Here is a 22,039-nt window from a genome sequence, read left to right on the forward strand (position 1 = left end):
ACACCTCTTTGTGTCCCTTCAACCTTTTCTCTCTTCTGTGGCCTTATTTTCTATTCCAGTTTTTCTATTCCAGCACTTCTCTTTTCCTGACTTTTCTTTTGATTTCTATACCTTTTTATATCCTTCCTTCTCTTGTTCTTTCCCTTTAGGGTGCCATGCTTTACTTTTCTCCTTGCCTTGCACTTCAATTTCTGAGGGCAGTGATCTGCTAATGCTCTCACCTCAGTGATACAGATTTAAAAACTACTGAATGATAGAAGAAAGGACTACTGGGTTGTGTATGTCAAAAATATTTTTTGTAGCACATCTATAAGGAATATTTTTAAGACCCTTGTCTAAAAATCATGGCCTTTACATTTATGTTTCTGATTTTTTTTTTTTTTTTTTTTTTTTGAGATGGAGTCTCTCACTCTGTTACCCAGGCCGGAGTGCAGTGGCGCAATCTTGGCTCACTGCAACTTCTGCCTCCCGGGTTCAAGTGACTCTCCTGCCTCAGCCTCCCAAGTAGCTGGGATTACGGGCGCCTGCCACCACGCCCAGCTAACTTTTGTATTTTTAGTAGAGACAGAGTTTTGCATTGTTGGCCAGGCTGGTCTCAAACTTCTGACCTCAGGTGATCCACCCGCCTTGGCCTTCCAAAGTGCTGGGATTACAGATGTGAGCCACTGCACCTGGCCTGTTTCTGATATTCTTTATGGTCAAGAATTAAACTATTTAAATGTAAGTTATATTTACTTCAATCCTAAGAAATAACTTAATGGGGTATTTTCAATTCATAGCAATCAGAAATAACCTCGGTTGTAAATTGAATCTATAGCGCAACAAATATTGAGTGATAATTTTATACCACTTTTGAATGTTTATACAAATGCCCTAATTTGAAAGAAGTTTGAGTGTTTCATTGAAATAAAATACCATTCCTTAGTGTAGAGAACAAAATGACTGACTTGTTTAAATACCAATCAGGATTTATGTTAACAGGAAGTGGGTGGTCCTGAAAAGATCTTGGTCTTTGTAAGAATGTTTCTTGGGGCTGGGCGTGGTGGCTCACGCCTGTAATCCCAGCACTTTGGGAGGCCGAGGTGGGCGGATCACGAGATCAGGAGATCCGAGACCATCCTGGCTAACATGGTGAAACCCAGTCTCTACTAAAAATACAAAAAATTAGCCGGGCGTGGTGGCGGGTGCCTGTAGTCCCAGCTACTCAGGAGGCTGAGGCAGGAGAATGGCGTGAACCCGGGAAGTGGAGTTTGCAGTGAGCCGAGATAGCGCCACTGCAGTCTGGCCTGGGCAAAAGAACGAGACTCTGTCTCAAAAAAAAAAAAAAAAAAAAAAAGAATGTTTCTTGGTCAAAGTCCAAGTCTTCTGATGGCATTTATTCTTGTGGCTCACTAGGTGGGTGGTAATAGTAAAATATTTGCCTTGGTCCAGTTCCATTGTTGAAAACAAAATTTCTTAACTCCATTTGTTTTTGAAATTTTTGAGAAAGTGGCAATCTTTGTCCACAACCTCTATTAACACATTTTTTCAAGGGCATTTTCTCTGAAAAATCACTGTTGGAATGATCATATAAAGGTCCCAGTGTATGATCTGATACTTCATCAGTACATTCTAAATCTTCCAAATTCATTTCATCATAAGAATAGTGTTGGTGGAAAGGTCTTTACCTTTACAAACCACTTCAACTGAAGTAATGAAAACCTTGTCCAGGTAACTGGTTCTGAAAATCCCCATGAGGTTGAGTACTCACAGCTATATGGAAGAGTTGTTTTTATCTCCAGCCTCTGTTAACAAAACCAAAATCTTTCATTGGAAGTGTTCCTGAAAGTTACTATAGGCCTGGTTATGAACAGTATGCATCTTTTGTCTACAAGCTTTGCTAACAAAATCAAAATCATCTCCAGGGTCTGGTTCATGGAGGTCACTGTGAGGCTGGTGATCATTAAATGGTCTTGGTTTTGTTCTAGGCACCCAGTTAATGATCTCCATCTCCTCTTGGGAGACATTGTAACACTGATGATTAGCAAAAAAAAAAAAAAAAATGAACATCTTGATCCTAGTCCCTTGCTAGCAAAATCCCAGTCTCTCAAGTGTCTCTTTTCTGCTATGCTATCACTACACTGGTATTCATCAAAATCCCTATGCCTTTGGACAGGTTCATTGTTGGCATAATCATAATTCTTTATCTGTACACCATTTTGAGGGTATTGATCATTAAGAAGCCTTGACTTTTTCCCAGACCCATGTGTGGCAGGGGAAATATGCTATAAATTACCAGTATTTTAACAATAAATAAAAGATAAATGCTATTGTATTAGCAATATCTCCCTTTACCCAATTCAGCAGGACACAAGATGACTTTGGTGTGATGTCTCCTAAATTGGGTTGTGCCTCATTTTCATTTCTCCTTTTTATCTACTTGTGAGCCCAAAACACCCTCCCACTGAAGCAGCCTCGTTGTCTGGGGTGACACCTGAGGTTTGCTGTCTGACGGCCACAGAGATCAAGGATGCAGACACACAAAGAGTGAGGTTAAGATCAGAAATTTAACAGGTGAAAGAATAGTTCTCTGCTACAGAGAGGGGTCTTCCAAGGACTCTTTTGCCCTCACTATCTGCCTAAATAATCTCTATCTCCTGTATCACTATCAGCTATCAGACTGTAACTATAAGCTTTAAAAATTCCAAACTTGTTTTGGTGTTAATAAATTTTTAGTAAAAACTGGTGAACACATTTCCCGGCATCTTTTCATTTAAAGGAATGTGTCATAACCAGGTCACTTTTACTGTAATTTGATGCATTAAAGAAGTAATCTTACAAATGTGGCTGATGACATGCTGGTTTATTGTACTGACTTCATGTCAGAAGAAACAATCAAAATATAACTTACTCCTAAAGACATTCAGCTGATAACATAAAATATTTATTATATAAATAACATATTTGGGCTGTTTCTTGTTCTTAGTTACTATAAATAAAGCTGCTATGAACATTCATATCAGATTTATGAGTGAACAAAATTTTCATTTCTCTGGGATAAATGCCCAAGAGTGAAACTGTTGGGTCATATGCTAAGTCTGTTTCTATTTTTATAAGGAACTGCTAAACTGTTTTATAACAAAAAACACTCCAACTTGAAATAGAGATAAAAAACAATAGATATCAGTTAGAATGAAAAAAGATAACTTTTAAAGACCTAGGATAAGATACTATAATTGACCACAAATTAGAACTGTGCTTCCTAGCAACAGGAACATAAAGGAAAGTTTCATTAAAAAACAAAACAAAACCCAACCTAAATAAAAATAACCCTCCAAGCCCCACAATATCACCGATTTCTGGCACTAACTTTTTTTTTTTTTTTTTTTTGAGACGGAGTCTTGCTCTATTGCCCAGGTTGGAGTGCAGTGGTGTGATCTCGGCTCACTGCAAGCTCCGCCTCCTGGGTTCACACCATTCTCCTGCCTCAGCCTCCCGAGTAGCTGGGACTACAAGTGCCCACCACCACGCCCGGCTAATTTTTTATATTTTTAGTAGAGACAGGGTTTCACCGTGTTAGCCAGGATGGTCTCAATCTCCTGACCTCGTGATCTGCCCTCCTTGGCCACCCAAAGTGTTGGGATTACAGGTGTGAGCCACCACGCCCGGCCTCTGGCACTAACTCCTAAGAGGGATTTTCCCAAGGATTTATAAGAAACAGGAATATAATAGTTATTTTCAATGTTGAAGATAAATGCTTCCTTGGAATGGGAGAGCAGAGATTGTGTGAGGGAAAGGAACTGTGTCAAGGCAATATGAAGTGCTGTGGGAAGTTGAGCTCTGTACACCCTTCCTGTATGTTATGTCCTGTGAGGCTAATGCCTAACAGTGCCTGGCATTGCTCAAGTGCTCCTTCTCCTGGGAAACAGAAAATTCAGAATTGTGTCTGTTCTAACTTGTATTAAATCAGTTCACAGTAGATAGTCTCAGTGTATTCAAAATAAGTTATATATGTGGCACATATACAACATATACACCATGGAATACTATGCAGCCATAAAAAATGATGAGTTCATGTCCTTTGTAGGGACATGGATGAAATTGGAAATCATCATTCTCAGTAAACTATCGCAAGGACAAAAAACCAAACACCGCATGTTCTCACTCATAGATGGGAATTGAACATTGAGAACACATGGACACAGGAAGGGGAACACCACACTCTGGGGACTGTTGTGGGGTGGGGGGAGGGGGGAGGGATAGCATTAGGAGATATACCTAATGCTAAATGACAAGTTAATGGGTGCAGCACACCAGCATGGCACATGTATACATATGTAACTAACCTGCACATTGTACACATGTACCCTAAAACTTAAAGTATAATAATAATAAAATAAAAAAATAAGTTATATATTTCATTTTTTTTCTCAAAAAATCAAACCAAAGACAAACACAAACTATTTCTTATATTTAAACTAGTACTGTGTATTGTGAAATTAGTTTTATAGAGAAAAATGCCATCAGAGTGCAAAAACTTTTCAAAGATAGGGAAGATTGCAAGATTTTTTTCTATTGTCTCTATCAGTTTATAAATACACACACACACACATTATATGTGAAAGTCATAGAAGAGATTCTAGTACCATTTGATAAACCTTAATTCAGTTTCTGATATATTGGTAGAATAAATACAAGTTATTACTAAGAATCATAGCATTTTAGATTTTGAAGAGCATAGAGATTATCTATTTCAACATTTCCCAGTTTGGAGAACATTACTGTCCCATATCATAATGCTTGTTCTGTGGGGAAAAAAAGTGAGTTCTGTGCTTAAATAAGTTGGGAAAATGCTGAGCTAAATACAATTTAATAAATTCCTTCAGGATTTCTAATGCTTTTAATGAGTGAATGTTCATGGTCATAGTGGGCTGCATTTCCCAAACTTATTTGACTTAAAAAAATACTTTTTATTCCTGTAAAACTAACAATATCTCATGAAACACTATGTTTTTAGAATACAGCATAAGAATAGCTAACTGATCTGGTCCATCTCCTGTATGTTATAAATTAAATATCTGTGGCCTAAAAAAGTTATCACTTACTCTAGGTCACATACAATTAACAAGTGGCAGAGCTAAGATTTGAACCCAAATTTCCTGATTCCCAATCCTATGGATTTCCCCCACTACTCTGCTATTATTTAAAAAATATGTTTCATAATTTTTATAAAATATTCATTTAAAATCATGTTACTAATGCCATGAAAGTCTTTATTTGGAGGCTATTCTCTGGATTCTTCCATAGAATTATTGGTTGGGGGATTTGCATCTTCATCTGAACCCCAGACACCCATTCCAAGATTACTAGAAGAAAAATATCAATAAACAACAGAAGCTTAAAATTCAATCAGAAACAGTCACAGGCTTTTAGAAACATAAGCTGAACACAAAATAAGAAAAAGGCAAATCTACACACCATTCATATCTTGGGAATCTATAGATATGTTGCCATTTGTCGTAGTGGAAACAAGAATAATACATCATCAAGCACAATTTTAGAGAGTATTTTCAATTGTTAGGATATACCCATTTTCTCCTGTGGCCAAGAGAGCATAAAAATTATTAAGGGTTTAAAGAATAGGCACTATGAGGAAAGTTTAAAGGAAGAGATAGAGAGGAAGTGGGAAATAGGTTATGGGTACTGAAGTACTGAATTAACTAATGAGCCCTTATAAGTATTTTTAGCTTCACCAAAATATAATCAAAACAGTATACAAGATAATAATGGCATTTTAATATCTTTAATAGTGGAGATTTAGTACTAATTTTGCTTACTATTCCTCTCTTCATTAGAGACTTTTCAAGAACTCTTGCTTCAATAGATGGTTATAAATTCCATTTTTTTCTTGTTGTAGATAATACACAAGTATCCCATGACTTTAAACATGTTTTTACTTCATCACTTATAAGATGCATATAATCAATCTGAAATTCTACAGAAAAAATTATGCATATTATAATTTTGTTTAAAAGGAATTTTAGCTGGATAGGGATTCCTGTACAGTCCTTTAGTACATAAGTAATGACTATTTGAGGTATAAATCTCAGAGCTAATAGCTAACACTTATTGAGCTCCTACCATATTTGGCACTGTGCTAAGAGCTTTACTTGTATTAACTCATTTAATTCTTACAACAACCTGTGAGGTATTATCTCCATATTATAGTTCAGAAAACTGCAGTACAAAAATCATAAAGTGGAAGCAGTGAAATTTAAACATAGGCTTTCTGGCTGTGCAGCCCATGTTCTTAGTTAATGCTATGGACTGAATGTTTGTGTGCCCCTAAAATTTATATGTTGAAGCCCTAATCCTCAAGTGTGATGGCATTTAAATGTGGAGACTTTGAGGAGTAATTAGGTCATGAGGGTGGAGCTCTCATGAATGGGAATAGTGCTCTTATAAGAAGAGACATAAAAGAGATGATCTCTTTCTTGGATATGTGAGGATACAGCAAGAAGGTGTCTGTTTGCAAACCAGGAAGAGAGCCTTCACCAGGAACTGAATGAGCTGGCATCTTGATCTTGAACTTCCCAGCTGTCAGAACTGTAAGGAATAAATTTCTGTTGTTTACACTACCCAGTGTATGGTATTTTTGTTAACAGCAGTCTTAACTAAGACAGCCAAAAAGTTATATTGTCTCTTTCCAACGAGGTAATTGATTTTAAGTACAAAGCAGTGGCCAGCCCTGTTCTATTTAGTACATGAGTCAACATGAGTTCAGGAAAATTTTACTTAAGTCTAATCTATTCCTAATTCAAATTATTTCTGGCCAGTTTGAATAAATCCTCCCAGATAACTCTAGTTTTCTTTCCAATACTGACCTCCAAATTACTTGAGCAGGACCTGCCTTTTTCTGAGGACTACATTTAGTCTGAAATATCTGGGTTTTTTTGTTTTTTTTTGAGACAGAGTTTCGCTCTTGTTGCCCAGGCTGGAGTGCAAATGGCATGATCTTGGCTCACTGCAAGCTCTGCCTCCCAGCTTCAAGCGATTCTCCTGCCTCAGCCTCCCAAGTAGCTGGGATTACAGGCGCCTGCCACCATGCCCGGCTAATTTTTGTATTTTTAGTAAAGACAGGGTTTCACCACGTTGGCCAGGCTAGTCTGGAACTGCTGACCTCAGGTGATCTACCCACCTCGGCCTTCCAAAGTGCTGGGATTACAGGCATGAACCACTGCATCCAGCCCTCTAGTCTGAAATATCTTGATACTCACCCTCTACAAGCCTTTCCTCTTTCTGAGCTGTAGCTTACCTAGACACCTGAATTTCCTTTTCAGCTATCATTCGTTGGAACCCAGACCTGGTAGGTGTTTCTTAAAATTTTCAGGCAGTTTATTTTCATGTTAGCTCTACAGCCTCACAGAAAATCAAAATCATGTAAGCAGTAGTATGTAACCAATATTTGGGTCCTAGAAGTACCCAAGCGTATTTTAAATGTTCATGGGACCTTGCAATCATCAAATCCAAATTTTTCATTTTATAGAAAAGAAAAGTGGGCCAGGTGTTGTGGCTCATGCCTGTAATCCCAGCACTTTGGGAAGTCGAGGTGGGCAGATCACCTGAGGTGAGGCAGTTGAGACCAGCCTGGCCAACATGGTGAAACCCTGTCTCTACTAAAAATACAAAAAAAACATTTGCCAGGCATGGTGGTGTGTGCCTGTAGTCCCAGCTACTTGGGAGGCAGAGGCAGGAGAATCGCTTGAACCCAGGAGGTGGAGGTTGCAGTGAGCCGAAATCGTGCCACTATCCTCCAGCCTGGGTGACAGGGTGAGACTCTGTCTCAAAAAAAAAAAAAAAAAAAAAAAAAAAAAAAAATGACTCCCAGAAAAGACAGATCACTTAAAGCTAGACAGTGGGAAAACAACAAAAGTAGTCATTTGTGGGTCCCCAAGACCAGTGTCATCCTTTTAAACTAGACAAACGCTTAAACCTCATATTTTCAATTCAGTCCAACAAATATTTATGAAGAACCGAAGTAGTATTTGACCTAAAATGGCTAGTCAAAGCTGGTCCATATTTACAATCTAATTACATAGGCTCTTAAAACTGGAGAACCTTTCTGGCTGTGGAGATGTGACTATGGGTGAAAGTTACACAGAGATGCAAAGTTGTTGACTTTGAAGATGAAGGAAGGGGGCCAATATCCATGAAGTGTGGGTGGCATCTAGAAGCTGCAAAAGGCAAGGAAACAAATCCCCTGTAGGGCCTCCAGGAAAGAATGCAGGCCTGGTGACACCTGATTTTAGCCCACTGAGACCCTCGTTGGACTTCTAACCTACGGAACTGTAAGGTTTTTTAAGCCACTAAATTTGCGATAATTTGTAATAGCAGCAATGGAAAATCAACCCATTGGCACTGATCACAAACTCAAATTTCCAATTTCCTCTCTGGTCCAAGTATCAACCCAAAAAGTAGGGATGTAAAATAGAACTCTGATTCATGAGGGCAGTGAATCTAGAAGGTTCTCAGACATGGGTACATGAAATGATCACTTTTTAATTTTGATGTAATTGCTCTTGGATGGGACCAGACATCAGGTTAAAAAAATGTCATAATAAATTCTAATGTATAATTAAGTTCAAAACTCTATTCTAGGAACAAAAGAAAATAAGCATCTGAATTGCCTGTTGAGGGAATAACTTTGTTCTCTAATAGGTACCCAGGACTTTTTCTTTTTTTGAGAGACAGAGTCTCACTCTGTCACCCAGGCTGGAGTACAGTGGCACCACCATGGCTCACTGCACACTCAACCTCCCAGGCTCAAGTGATCCTCCTGCCTCAACCTCCCAAGTAGCTTGGACCAAGGTACACACTACCACACCCAGCTAAATTTTTATTTTTTGTAGAGGTGGGATCTTCCTATGTTGCCCAAGCTGGTCTTGAACTCCTGGGCTCAAGTGATCCTCCTGGCTCAGCCAAAGTGCTGGGATCACAGGTGTGAGCTACTGTGCCTGGCCAGTAGCTAAGATTTCTTAGAAGACAAACACCATATCCTTACACCCAAACTGGTACAGCTAGAAGTTTTATAGACAGCAGTCAGCACAGGTTGCCAAGATGAGCAAAGCTGTGTTTCATTAAAGCATTACGAGGGTTATCCTTCAGATTTTAGCCAAAGGACTACGTACACAACTGCAGGCACCTGTGCCCCAGCAGTTCAATGACTTTGAGAGCTGGTGAAGCTAATTATCTCTTCTCTACTTAATGCATCAACCTGGGTGATTGGTACCAAGTGAGAAACCTGGGAATCAACCCATTCTTCCCCCCAACTCACTCACCTACATCTCTTTGCCATTATTTTAATAAGTCTCTCTTTAAAAATCTTCAACTGTTTTCCTCACCATCTCTTCTGCCACTGCCTTAGATTAGGCCCCTAATTAATTTTTCCTTTAATTTCTGTAATTGTTCCCACACTAATCTCTGTGCCCCCAACCTACTTCCATTCTTCGATACTGTGAAACATATATTTGGTCATAGTCCATTTCCTGACATACAACTCCCAAAACCCTTGGAATCTCCAGAGTGGTAAGAGTGCCTTTTGTATACTACTGAGATGACTGGTGATTGGGGCCCCTGATAGCCTCAGCACGGGGACTGGTCCTCAGAAAAACCAAGGCAGGATTAAAGTGTTGGGACTTTCAGCTCTATCCCCCAACCTTTGGGGAGGGGAGAAAGGCTGTAGGTTAATCTCCTTGCCAATGGCCAGTAATTTAATCCATCATCCTACCTAACGAAGCTTCCATAAAAATACAAAAGGCTTGGGTTTGGACAACTTCTGGATAGCTGAACATGCGGAGGTTCCTAGAAGGTGGCTTGCCTGGAAAGGGCATGGAAGCCTGGCTCCCCTTCCCGCGTACTTTGCCCTGTGCATCTCTTGTCTGGTTGTTCCTCTGTATCCTTTGCAATGTCCTTTTTAATGAATGGGTAAACATAAGTGTTTCCCCGCATACTGTGAGTCACTCTAGGAAATTAATAGAATGATTTAGGAGGGGTTGTGGGAACTCTGATTTATAGTTGTCAGAAGTACAGACTGCAACCTGGGGCTTGTGATTGGCATCTGAAGTGGGGGACAGTTTTGTAAGACTAAGTCCTCAACCTATGGGATCTGATGCTATCTCCAGGTAGATAGTGTCAACAGAATTGAATTAGCGGACACCCAGATGGTGTACATAGCAGAACTGCTTGATGTTTGTGGGAAAATCCCCACACATCTGGAGTCAGAAGTGTTGAGTAGCTGTGTGAGAGCAGGGAAAATACCTTTTTTCCTACATGTAACCTATCTATTCGAATCTATCTTACTCTCTGGTGCCAGAATGATCTAAGATACATAACTTATTATGTGACTTCTACATAAAATGCCTCTGTGACTACATTTTGCCTTTAGGTTGCAATTCAAATCTTCGTAAGACAAGTCAGCTCCTTGGAGCTCTCACCCTTGCTATCTGCCCCTAGGTGAACCTATAATCTAGGCATTCTCACTACTTGTGAATCCCCCATGCGCCATGCTTTCACACCTCTGTGATCCAGCTTACATTGTTTTCTTTGCCTAGCCAACTCTTCCTTTACATTTCTGCTCAGACATCAGAATACTGACTCCACTTCTCCATTAACCTTCTCTGAGTACCCATACTTTCACTATCTGAAATTGCCTTATTTGTTGAATGCCTTTCTCCAGCACCATCCACACATTCGTTGTTTCATCCCATCATCAAATGTGTTTTAGGTGCCCAAAATATTCCAGATACCGTTTAAACACTTAGAGATACCAAATCAATCAAAGTCCCTGTCCTCAAGAGGGACAGACCAAAAGCAAGTACACACATCATCTCTGATAGTAATAAGTGCTTTGAAGGAAATCAAGATCATACAATCAACAGTGACTAGAAGAGAGGAACAGCACTAAATAAGACAGTCATGGAAGGCTGGCCCTCTGAGAAGGTGACATTTGAACCGAGCCATGCAAAGATAAAGCATTCTAGGCAGAGGAAACAGCAAGTGCAAAATCCCATCATATAAGGCCTTGCAAGCCCACACAGATTTACAATCTTCATGGCCTGGTCTGGGTTAACCTGAAATAATCAAAAGGATCAAAATCCAGTCGAGATTATTCAAGTAAAAAGCTGGGAATAGCCATTTGGGAGACACAGACTCCAGAGAAATAGAGTCAGTGTTCCAAAGTTCAAAGTTAAATTATTGCATATATAGGCAGAAAACAAAGAAGTTTAGTAGGTTTATAACATTTTCTAGAACGCTAGTTTATGAGTTTCTTTTCTGTATGGCTTGTTTTCTTTACAGTTGGTTTTCATTTCCTTTCTGATTTAAAAGAGGTATTTAACACTCCATCTTAACACGGTGTGATAGCCATGAAACCTTTGGGTGAGAAACTAAAAGGGAAGTTAATCTATAATAAAAATCAACAGTAACAGGGAAGGGGTCTTTCCTGGAGCCCTTTAGTCATTTGTAACATTTTGTACAACAATGTAAGCAAGGAGGAAGGTTAATCTATAATCATAGAAACAAAGATTACAGCTTCCCAGGTTACAGCTGCTTGTAACGTGACTCAGGCCCCATAATCACATTTCTTTAAGGATCAAAATAGTTTGGAGTTCCAACAGCTTAGATTTTGAATTACTTATTTTCACACCTGTCTTATTCATTGCTGAATCCTCAGAGCTAAGCAGAGTGCCAGGACACAGTAGGTATTCCATAAACACTTGTGGAATGGATAAAGTGTCTATTTGCTGGTTTACTTACCTATCTCCTTGAAGGCAAGGGCTCCTTCTGACCTCTGTAGGTCTAGTGTTGAGCTGTATGCCTGGCACATAGAGGTGCTTAACAGAGTTGCTAAGCAGCATATAAAAGATGTTGCTTGAGTACCATACAGCATATAAAAGATGTTGCATGAATACCATTATCTTCATTAGAGAAGATAAAATTAAATGGAAAGTATTCTTTAGGAATATGCCACTGAGTTTAGGCTAAAAGACACTAAGATTTTTGAATTGTTCCAGTGTTGCTTAGTTTCATAAAGTAGAAAACTGACATCCAGGCATGTTATAAAAGCAATCTTCTCAGGGAAAAATTATATATTAGTATCTATAAATAGCAATCACAACCTTAGATGGATATTAATGTTGACATGAGCTCAGAAAATGACTTATATGAATTCTAGTAAAAGATCCCCAGAGTTAATTTTCTGGTATTGTTAATTTTCAGATGTCATCTATTGGGAAGAACATTTCTTTAGGTAGGGACTAAAAACAAGCACAAGTAAAAGGTTGCAAAGGGAAGAAGACTATAAGGAGAGAACATTTTATCAAGCAGCTCTTATAAGAAATTAGGAACCAATAAATTTTCCTCCCAGAATACCTGAATAAATACTGAGAAGGAAATCCCTAGCTTTCAGGCAAAATTCAGTTTCTGGTTTGATTTTATTTAGCTTATGAAACACTGAAAGATCATAATGCAAACAAAACAGATATGGTGTCAAAGAAACAAATATACATAAAACATTCATTCTTTTTATGAGCTATATAAACTATCCCAAAGACCTGTGATTTGAAAAGAAAGTGTTCCTTAGAGAAGTGGGGATTTTGTACATAACTGAGGTATGCGAAACATTTAGGGGTCATCTGGCAGACATGACAGCCAAAGTGACAAGAGAATGGGAATAAAAGCAAAGCCAAAGAAAGAGTTTTATAAAACCTCTACAGTGAGAAGAATAGGAGACAACCAAAGTGATTGAGAGCTATCAGAAAAGAGGCAAACCTGGATAATTACTGTGTTCAAAATAAAAAAATATAAGTACAGGTTGAGGATCCCTCATCCATAATGCCCAGAAGTGTTTCAGATTTCAGATTTTTGTGGATTTTGGCATATTTGCACTATGCCAGTTGAGCATCCATAATCCCAAAATCTGAAATCTGAAATGCTCTAATGATCATTTCCTTTGAGTGTCAGTTTGGTGCTCAAAAAGTTCCATATTTCGGAGCATTTCAATTTTCAGATATTTGGATTTGGCATTCTCAATCTGTATGTGTAGATGCCAGATGCTGCAAAGAAAAGGCTGCAGGATTTGGCTAGATTGTTGGTGATTTCTGAGAAGGCAATTTCATTAAGTGGTGAAAACAAACCACACATTTAAGAAGAGAATGGGACAGTAAAGAAATGGAGGTGGTGATCACAGCCAAGGTGTTTTCAAATGTTTGACAATAGGCACAACAAGAAAGTGGAATAGTAGTTCATACAAGAGAATAGAAACCAACAGAATACTTCTAGGTATATTTGAAAGTAAGAGGAAAGCGGCAAGGGAGATTTAAGATGCCAGAGAGGAAAGTGATAGGGACAGTGAGATCCTAGAGCTAAAAAGGAATCACATTCTGTAGAAATGAAAGATTTTTTTCTTTAAAAAAAAAAGGAAAATTTTTCTAAGAATAAGGCAAAGACTAATAAAAAGGGAAATGGGGTAGTGATCTATTCTTATAGTGATAATTAAATTCTATTGCCAATAATCTTAAGCTTTATTGTAAAGAATGAATCTAAATGGGATAATGGCAGAAAGCCACTCAGGAATACAAAATGCAAATTATAAATAGGGAAATGCAAATTAAAAGCACAATGACATACCCTTTCAAACCCACTAAAATAATAAATAAAAATGATAGACAATAACAAATATTGGCAAGGCTAAACTCACCTTAAATAGTTGGGCAATTTGTTTAAAAGTTAAATATAAATTTACCATATGACCCAGAAATTTCACTCCTAGATATCAATCCATGAGAAATGAAAACATATATCCATACAAAGACCTCCATATGAATGTTCTTAGCAACCTTATTAACAGTAGCCAAAAATGGGAAACAACTGAAATGTCCACTGTGAACCCTGAATATCTGAGATAGGTCTCAGTTAATTTAGAAAGTTTATTTTGCCAAAGTTGAGGACATGTGCCTGTGAGACAGCCTCAGGAGGTCCTGATGACATGTGGCCAAGATAGAGCACAGTTTGGTTTTATACATTTTAGGGAGACATGAGACATAAATCAAATATATAAGATGAACACTGGTTTTGTCTGGAAAGGTGGGACAACTCAAAGCTGGGAGGGGGCTTCCAGGTCATAAGTAGATAAGAGACAAATGGCTGCATTCTTTTGAGTTTCTGATTAGCCTCTCCAAAGGAAGCAATCAGATATGCATTTATCTCAGTGAGTAGAGGGGTGACTTTGAATACAATGGGAGGCCGGTTTGCCCTAAGCAGTCCAGGCCTGACTTTTCCCTTTAGCTTAGTGATTTTGGGGCCCCAAGATTAATTTTCCTTTCACACCACCTACTGATGAATAGGTAGACAAAATGTGGTATATCCATATAATGTACTATTATTCAGCAAAAACACAAATGAACTACTGATATATGCTGTATATCATGGACAAACCTCAAAAACATTATGCTAAACGAAAGAAGCCAAACACAAGAGACCAATATTGTATGATTCCATTTATATGAAATGTCCACATGAGACAAATCTCTAGAGACAGAAACTACATTAATTGTTGCCTGGGGTGGGGGAATAGGAATGAACAATTCATGAACATGAAGGTTCTTATTAGGGAGATAGAAGTGTTTTAAAACTGATGTACAGTAATAGATGCATAAATAGGTAAATTTAATAAAAATCATTAAATTGTATGCTTGAAGTGGGTGAATTATATGGTATGTTAAATACCTAACCAACAAACAAATGGAAACACATCCCATGTACATGGATGGGTAGATTCAATATTGTGAAAATGACCATACCGCCAAAAGCAATCTGTAAATTCAATGCATTCCCATCAAAATACCACTGTCATTCTTCACAGAACTAGAAAAAACAATCCTAAGATGCATATGGAACCAAAAAAGAGCCCACATAGTCAAAGCAAGACTAAGCAAAAAGAACAAATCTGGAGATATCACATTACCCGACTTCATACTATAAGGCCATAATAACCAAAACAGCATGGCACTGGTATAAAAAGAGGCACATAGACCAATGGAATAGAAGAGAGAACCCAGAAATAAAGTCAAACACTTACAGCCAACTGATCTTCAACAAAGCAAACAAAAACATAAAGTGGGGAAAGGATACCCTATTCAACAAATTGTGCTGGGATAATTGGCAAGCCACATGTAGAAGAATGAAACTGGATCCTCATCTCTTACCTTATACAAAAATCAATTCAAGATGGATAAAAGACTTAAATCTAAGACCTAAAACCATAAAAATTCTAGAAGATAACATTGGAAAAACCCTTTTAGACATCGGCTTAGGCGAAGACTTCATAACCAAGAACCCAAAAGCAAATGTAACAAAGATAAATAGATGGGACTTAATTAAGCTAAAAAGCTTCTGCACAGCAAGATAATAATAATAATAATAATAATAATAGTAATCAGCAGAGTAAACAGACAACCCACAGAGTGGGAGAAAATCTTTGCAATCTATGCATCCAATGAAGGACTAATATCCAGAATCTACAGGAACTCAAACAAATTAGCAAGAAAAAAACAAACAGTCCCATCAAAAAGTGGGCTAAGGACATGAATAGACAATTCTCAAAATAAGATATACAAATGGCCAACGAACATATGAAAAAATGCTCAACATCACTGATTATCAGGGAAATGCAAATCAAAACCACAATGCAATACTACCTTACTCCTGCAAGAATAGCCATAATCAAAAAAATAAAAATAAATAGATGTTGGTGTGGATGTGGTGAAAAGGGAACACTTTTACACTGCTGGTGGGAATGTAAATTAGTACAACCACTATGAAAAACAGTGTGGAGATTCCTTAAAGAACTAAAAGTAGAACTACATTTGATCCAGCAATCCCACTACTGGGTATCTACCCAGAGGAAAAGAAGTCATTATACAAAAAAGATACTTACACACACTTGTTTACAGCAGCACAATTCACAATTGCAAAATCTGCAAAAATATGGAACCAGTACAAATGCCCATCAATCAACGAGTGGATAAAGAAAATGTGGTGTGTATACACACACACACAAACACACACACACACACACACCCACGAGGGAATACCACTCAGCCACAACAAGGAATGAAATAATGGCATTTGTAGCAACCTGGATGGAACTGGAGACCATTATTCTAAGTGAAGTAACTCAGGAATGGAAAACCAAATATCGTATGTTCTCACTCATAAGTGGGAGCTAAGCTATGAGGACACAAAGGCATAAGAATGATACAATGAACTTTGGGGACTTGGGGGAAAGGCTGGGAGAGGGGATGAGGGATAAAAGAGTATACATTGGGTACAGTGTACACTGCTTGGGTGATGGGTGCACCAATATCTCAGAAATCACCACTAAAGAACTTCTGCACGTAAGCAAACATCACCTGTTCCCCAAAAACTATTGAAATAAAAAATATTAAAATGAATAAACATCATATATAATTTGGTTTATCCAGTAAATGACTAACTTTAAGAGAAATTCACAAATTGATTTTAAATGATTTAAATTTTTGTAACAAATTAGAATCCCTTATGCTTGATAAAACAATTAGTAAAACTAAGTAGAATCAAGTAATCTTTTCTGCATTTTAGTGTTCCTGATTCTTTTGAGCAAATATAGAAGGCCTGAAGACAATTTCATTTTAGAGTTTAAGAATTTTTCAGAATTTGTTTGATCCAAATCCCTCCATGTACTGGGGTCACTTGTGACAAGAAAAAAGAAAACCTTGACCATGGTCACATGGTAAGTCGGTAGCAGAACTAGACAAAAACTCAGCTCTCCTGATTTCTAATCTAATACTTTTTTCATTATCCCATGCAACCTCCCACATTTTCAGAACAGAAACAGAAAAATTAGAAGGAGAAAAGTAACCCAAACTCATAGGACTGTATCTTTTTTGGATTCCTACAAATACTCTTAAGCTTTGTTTCAGGAAGCAGTTACTTGGAAACAGTTTGATCCTTTCAGGTCTCGCTGTTAAGACTTATTAGGTAAGATCAGAGTAGTGTTTAGTCTAGAGTTCATTCCCCACTATTGAGACAAGGCCCTTCTGAACTCTACCCAGCATCCTGTGAATTATGAGGTTTTCCATAGATCAGAGTAGTGTTTAGTCTAGAGCTCATTATTCCTTACTATTATGAGGTTTTCCATAGATCAGAGTAGTGTTTAGTCTAGGGCTCATTATTTCCCACTATTGAGACAAGGCTCTTCTGAATGCTACCCAGTATCCTGTGAATTATGAGGTTTTCCATAACCTCATAATGGCTGGTGGGAAAAGTCCCTATTGCCAGCCCTAAGTGAGCTCCAAGTACTGTTCCTTCTAATCTTCTAGAGTAGCTCTTTCTCCAGCCTCAGGTACTTTCCTGAAATGCAGGGAAACCTTCTGCATTCCAGGAAAGTATCTGAGGGTTGGTAAAGAGTACCCTAGAATACTCTCCCTGGGCAGTACTCTCTTGTCCAGTGCTAGCTGCCTTGGTTTCCCAGGCGTCTCAGTTCTGTCCCCTTAACTTGGCAGTGACTTGCTCCATCATGATTCCCACTTTCTGCACCATGACCTGGAAACTCTCTCAAGGCAGCAAGCTGGAACATTTCTCAGAGATCACTGTCCTTCATTGCCTGATATCCAACTTCTTGGAAATTGTTGTTTCATATATTTTCTTCACTTTTTTTTTTGTTGTTTCAGGTGGGAGGGTTAATCTGGTCCCTGTTACTTCCTCTTATCTGAAAGCAGAAGTCCCAGTGGCGTCATTTTTTTTTTCTTACTCTGAAATCTTGGGTCTAACAACTCTCTCCTACTTTATGAATTGGCTAATAACAATTCCTTTTCTTTTAATAGCCTTTTCTTTTATCTGTTCTCATAATGAGAAGCACAATTAAATGCTTATAAAGCTTTGGTAAGAGGTACTTGGCAAAAATAAACAATTTAAGTATGATGACTACTGACAAAGACTCTCCTTAAGCAAAATTTAGTCAGGTTCCTTTGAGCCCATTCTCTACTAGGCCCGGTACTTGGGCCTTGTCCTCAAGAGCAAGAATCCTGTTAAGTCAGTTTTGTAAGAATCCCATCCTCATATCTGACCTCCTTCAATATCTGATCAAATTCCTCATCCTCCATTGCCCCCGAGGTGTTGTCTGATCATCCTGGCCTGCCTTCAGCAAGAATCCTGTTAGGTCTGTTTAACCAGAATTACCTCTTACCTTGATGTTTCCTCCTAGGAATTTTCCATCCACCGACCCCACTCTGTTCCTTGGTATGAATCCCCCCTTATTCTTCTTCTTTTCAGAACTGAGCACAGTTCTATACTCAAGTCCCTTACTTTATTCCAATAGTTCCTGAGTAAAATCTATTTTTTACTGCTTTCTTTACTGTCTAGCTCTGGTTTTAATACTATGTCTAATTTTACATAAAAATCCTTTATCACATATTCCACACTTTGAAACTCTAGCACTATCAACACCTAAGCTGAAAATGGTCTCTTATCCCTTAAAATTAAGGTTGTAAAAGTATTAAACTAAACAATAAAAAAAAAATCCACCTTGTTGTCATTGGCTCTAATTCTATATACTCCAAATACAAACAACTGTAGTGATTATGTCCCATTTAAGATTCTCTGCATTCCCTTTCCACATATTGGGAATTATTTCTATAAAGGCAGTAAGCAGGGTCAATGAAAACTTTAATCATTGCATTTTGGAGCCAAAGGGGACCTCAGAAAATCAATTTCTAATTGCTGTCTTTGTGGAGGTCAAAAACTGAAGTCTTGAAAGAATTTAACTGTCTTACTACTATATTATAGGAGACATGAGACTCAGTCATTATCCATCTTGAATTTTTAGTGATTTAAAATGTAGTATTATAGGCCGGGTGCGGTGGCTCACGCCTGCAATCTCAGCACTTTGGGAGGCTGAGGCGGGCGGATAACGAGGTCAGAAGATCGAGACCATCCTGGCTAACACAGTGAAACCTTGTCTCTACTAAAAATACATACAAAAAATTAGCCGGGCGTGGTGGCGGGCACCTGTAGTTCCAGCTACTCAGGAGGCTGAGGCAGGAGAATGGCATGAACCCGGGAGGCGGAGCTTGCAGTGAGCCGAGATCGCACCATTACACTCCAACTGGGGCGACAGTGCGAGACTCCATCTCAAAAAAAAAAAAAAGAAAGAAAATTTAGTATTACCATTGAACTCAACACTTGAAAAATGGTAGAACCATCCACATGCATAGTAAAACTACTATTTCCTTTGACTTAAATCTGGAACTTTAAAATATCAGACTTTAAAAGTGCATTAGCTTTTTAATCACTGGCATCATACTGCATCTAGTAAAATTCCACTTTTTCATGTGAACTGCTAAGACAGATGCTTTCATATCTTGTCACTGCAATTTTTAGTTTTCTCATAAGGTCTAAAAATTATTTTCCTCTAGAGCAGGGTTTTAAAATTCTGCTCTTCGAAGTGTCCTTCTGCCCCTTAGTCTGTGGGTGGAAAGTGAAGGAAGGAGAATAATTATCATGTCAAGTGGACTAAGTCTGGATCCTCAATCCCCTGCTTCAACCAACCCAACTCCCCACTTACCATATCTGCTTTATATAACGGGCTTCGGAGCAAGATTTAATTGAAAGATTTCTCTGTTAAAGTTCAAAAATTACTGTTGTAATACCCATCTCACTTACGTTTTTATTTCTTCCGTTTTCATCATATTGCTGTCTTTCCCTCCTTTTGTTTCTCTGTCCCTTTTTCACTTTTCCTATTTGCAACTATATTTCCTTCTAGTTATTTTGCTTTTTTAAAAGGATAAGTTCAGTGTTTTTTTTCCTCTTTGCACAACCAATGGTTTTTAGAAAAAGAATATTGTATGAGTATATGAAGGACTAAAAACATTGCTAAGAGATTATTCATGGGCAATTCTGAAATTAATATTAAAATAACCAAGAGAATATCTTAATTCACTTTCCAAGTGCAGTATTAAAAAAAAAATTCTTGCCAGATGTGGTGCCTCACGCCTGTAATCCTAGCACTTTGGGACGCCGAGGTGGGCAGATCATCTGAGGTCAGGAGTTTGAGACTAGCCTGGCCAACATGGCGAAACCCCACCTCTACTAAAAATACAAAAATTAGCCAGGCGTGGTGGCGGGCGCCTGTAATCCCAGCTACTCAGAAGGCTGAGGCAGGAGAATCACTTGAACCCAGGAGGCGGAGGTTGCAGTGGGCCGAGATCACGCCACTGCACTCCAACCCGAGTGACAGAGCAGGACTCTGTCTTAAAAAAACAAAATAACAACAAAACAAAAAACAAACTTTCTATTTTAAGACCTACCCATGATAACAATATACATTTGCAACTTTACCTTAACTTCATAATATCTTGTGGTGTATGTTAAATCAATAATTAATCCGAGCTCCTCATTTAGTGCTTTTATTGCGCTAATCAAGTCTTTTGGTATAAACTTCTGGGTTGGAGTAAGTCTCTGATTAACTGTCTATGATGAAAAATGAAAAATAAGGTTATAAAATACAGATAAAATGTTAACATTAAACATAGAACAAGGAAGAGAAAAAACATAAGACAATAAAAAGACTTGGTGAAAATGTCATAGCATAAGAATATTGACAAGCTTTTAACTAACTAGAGCTGTACAAATTGCCTAAACATATTCACATCCTTTGCCTCAGTGATTTCATGTCTTGGAAATTATCCTAAGGCAAGTATCAGAAATATTGGGGAAAAAGAGTTTGGGCGTAACATTCACTGCAACATTATGTATAATAGAAACACATTGGAATATCATGTTGCTGTTAAAAATCACATTTCTCAAAATTATTATTATTATTATTATTATTATTATTATGAGACAGAGTCTCACTCTGTCACCCAGGCTGGAGTGCAGTGGCGCAACCTTGGCTCACTGCAAGCTCCGCCTCCCGGGTTCACGCCATTCTCCTGCCTCAGCCTCCCGAGTAGCTGGGACTACAGGTGCCCACCACCACGCCTGGCTAATTGATTATTATTTTTTTAAATGAGGTCTCACTCTGTCACCTAGGATGTGGTGTAATGGTGCTATCATAGCTCACTGTATTCTTGAACTCTTGGGCTCAAGGGATCCTCCTTCCTCAGCCTCCCAAGTAGCTAGGACTACAGGTAGGCAATACCCTACCCAGGTATTAATTTTTTTTTTTTTTTTTTTTTTGGAGATAGGGTCTTGCTATGTTGTTGCCCAGGCTGGTCTTAAACTTCTGGCCTCAAGTGATCCTCCCACCTTGGCCTCCCAAAGTCCTTGGATTTCAGGCACCAGCCACCATGCCTGGCCACAAAGACTATTTAATAAGGAAAAATCCTCAAAATGTTACATAAAGATCACATCACAAAACTTTTACATACAGTGTTATTCTGATTTATTTTTGAAGGGGTAAGGAGAAGGAAAATATATCACTTTTAAAAGTGGAATTTCAATTGTTTTTCTTCTATACTCATATGTTTTCCATTTTTTTTCTATTTCCAACAGAAACTTTCTGTAAATGCTACTGTCATTACAGGATAAACTTCAAATCTACTGTGATTCTTTAAGGCCGTATACACACAGACTTATCCATATATTGAGTCTTACCTTTCACCACAGATCCCACCTGGAAACACTCTCCAGTCCGGCAGCTCTCCTTACAGTCCAACAAATACCTTAAGTTCGTTCCTCTTTCTGTGTCTTGTACCTTTCCTTAGGCTCCTTGACCATCTAAATCAGGGTTTCTCAACTGGGCACTAATATTTGGGGTGAAACATTGTTGTGGGGCTGTCCTGTGCATCGTGGGACATTTAGCAGCACCCCTGGCCTCTGCATACTGAATGCCAAGAGCACCCCCTCCCCAGACCCTCCAAGTTATGACAATCAAACATGTCTCCAGACATTGTCAAATGTCTCCTGGTGGACAAAATCACCCTGGCATGACTCACTGAAACTAATGCTTTAAGTAATTAATGTA

At 38.3% G+C, this 22,039-nt stretch overlaps 1 long non-coding RNA gene across 1 annotated transcript in view, besides 2 other annotated features; it reads right to left on the reverse strand.

Annotated features, from left to right (window-relative positions):
• The window catches only part of ENTPD1-AS1 (ENTPD1 antisense RNA 1), a 337,030-nt gene that overhangs the window by 125,269 nt on the left and 189,722 nt on the right, over positions 1 to 22,039 (reverse strand). The gene's annotated exons all lie outside the window — the stretch shown is intronic.
• Positions 7,067 to 7,226: a silencer, noted in NCBI's record as "fragment chr10:97645298-97645457 (GRCh37/hg19 assembly coordinates)". NCBI's record gives its function as "represses an EF-1alpha promoter that drives an FKBP-Casp9 reporter gene in an ReSE screen in HepG2 liver carcinoma cells {active_cell/tissue: HepG2}" and the evidence as "EXISTENCE:reporter gene assay evidence [ECO:0000049][PMID:32094911]".
• Positions 17,705 to 17,905: a silencer, noted in NCBI's record as "peak1059 fragment used in MPRA reporter construct". NCBI's record gives its function as "represses an SCP1 promoter by STARR-seq MPRAs in K562 erythroleukemia cells {active_cell/tissue: K562}" and the evidence as "EXISTENCE:reporter gene assay evidence [ECO:0000049][PMID:32103011]".

The sequence above is a fragment of the Homo sapiens genome, chromosome 10 (assembly GCF_000001405.40).
Source record: "Homo sapiens chromosome 10, GRCh38.p14 Primary Assembly".
In the NCBI taxonomy this organism is placed as follows: domain Eukaryota; kingdom Metazoa; phylum Chordata; class Mammalia; order Primates; family Hominidae; genus Homo; species Homo sapiens.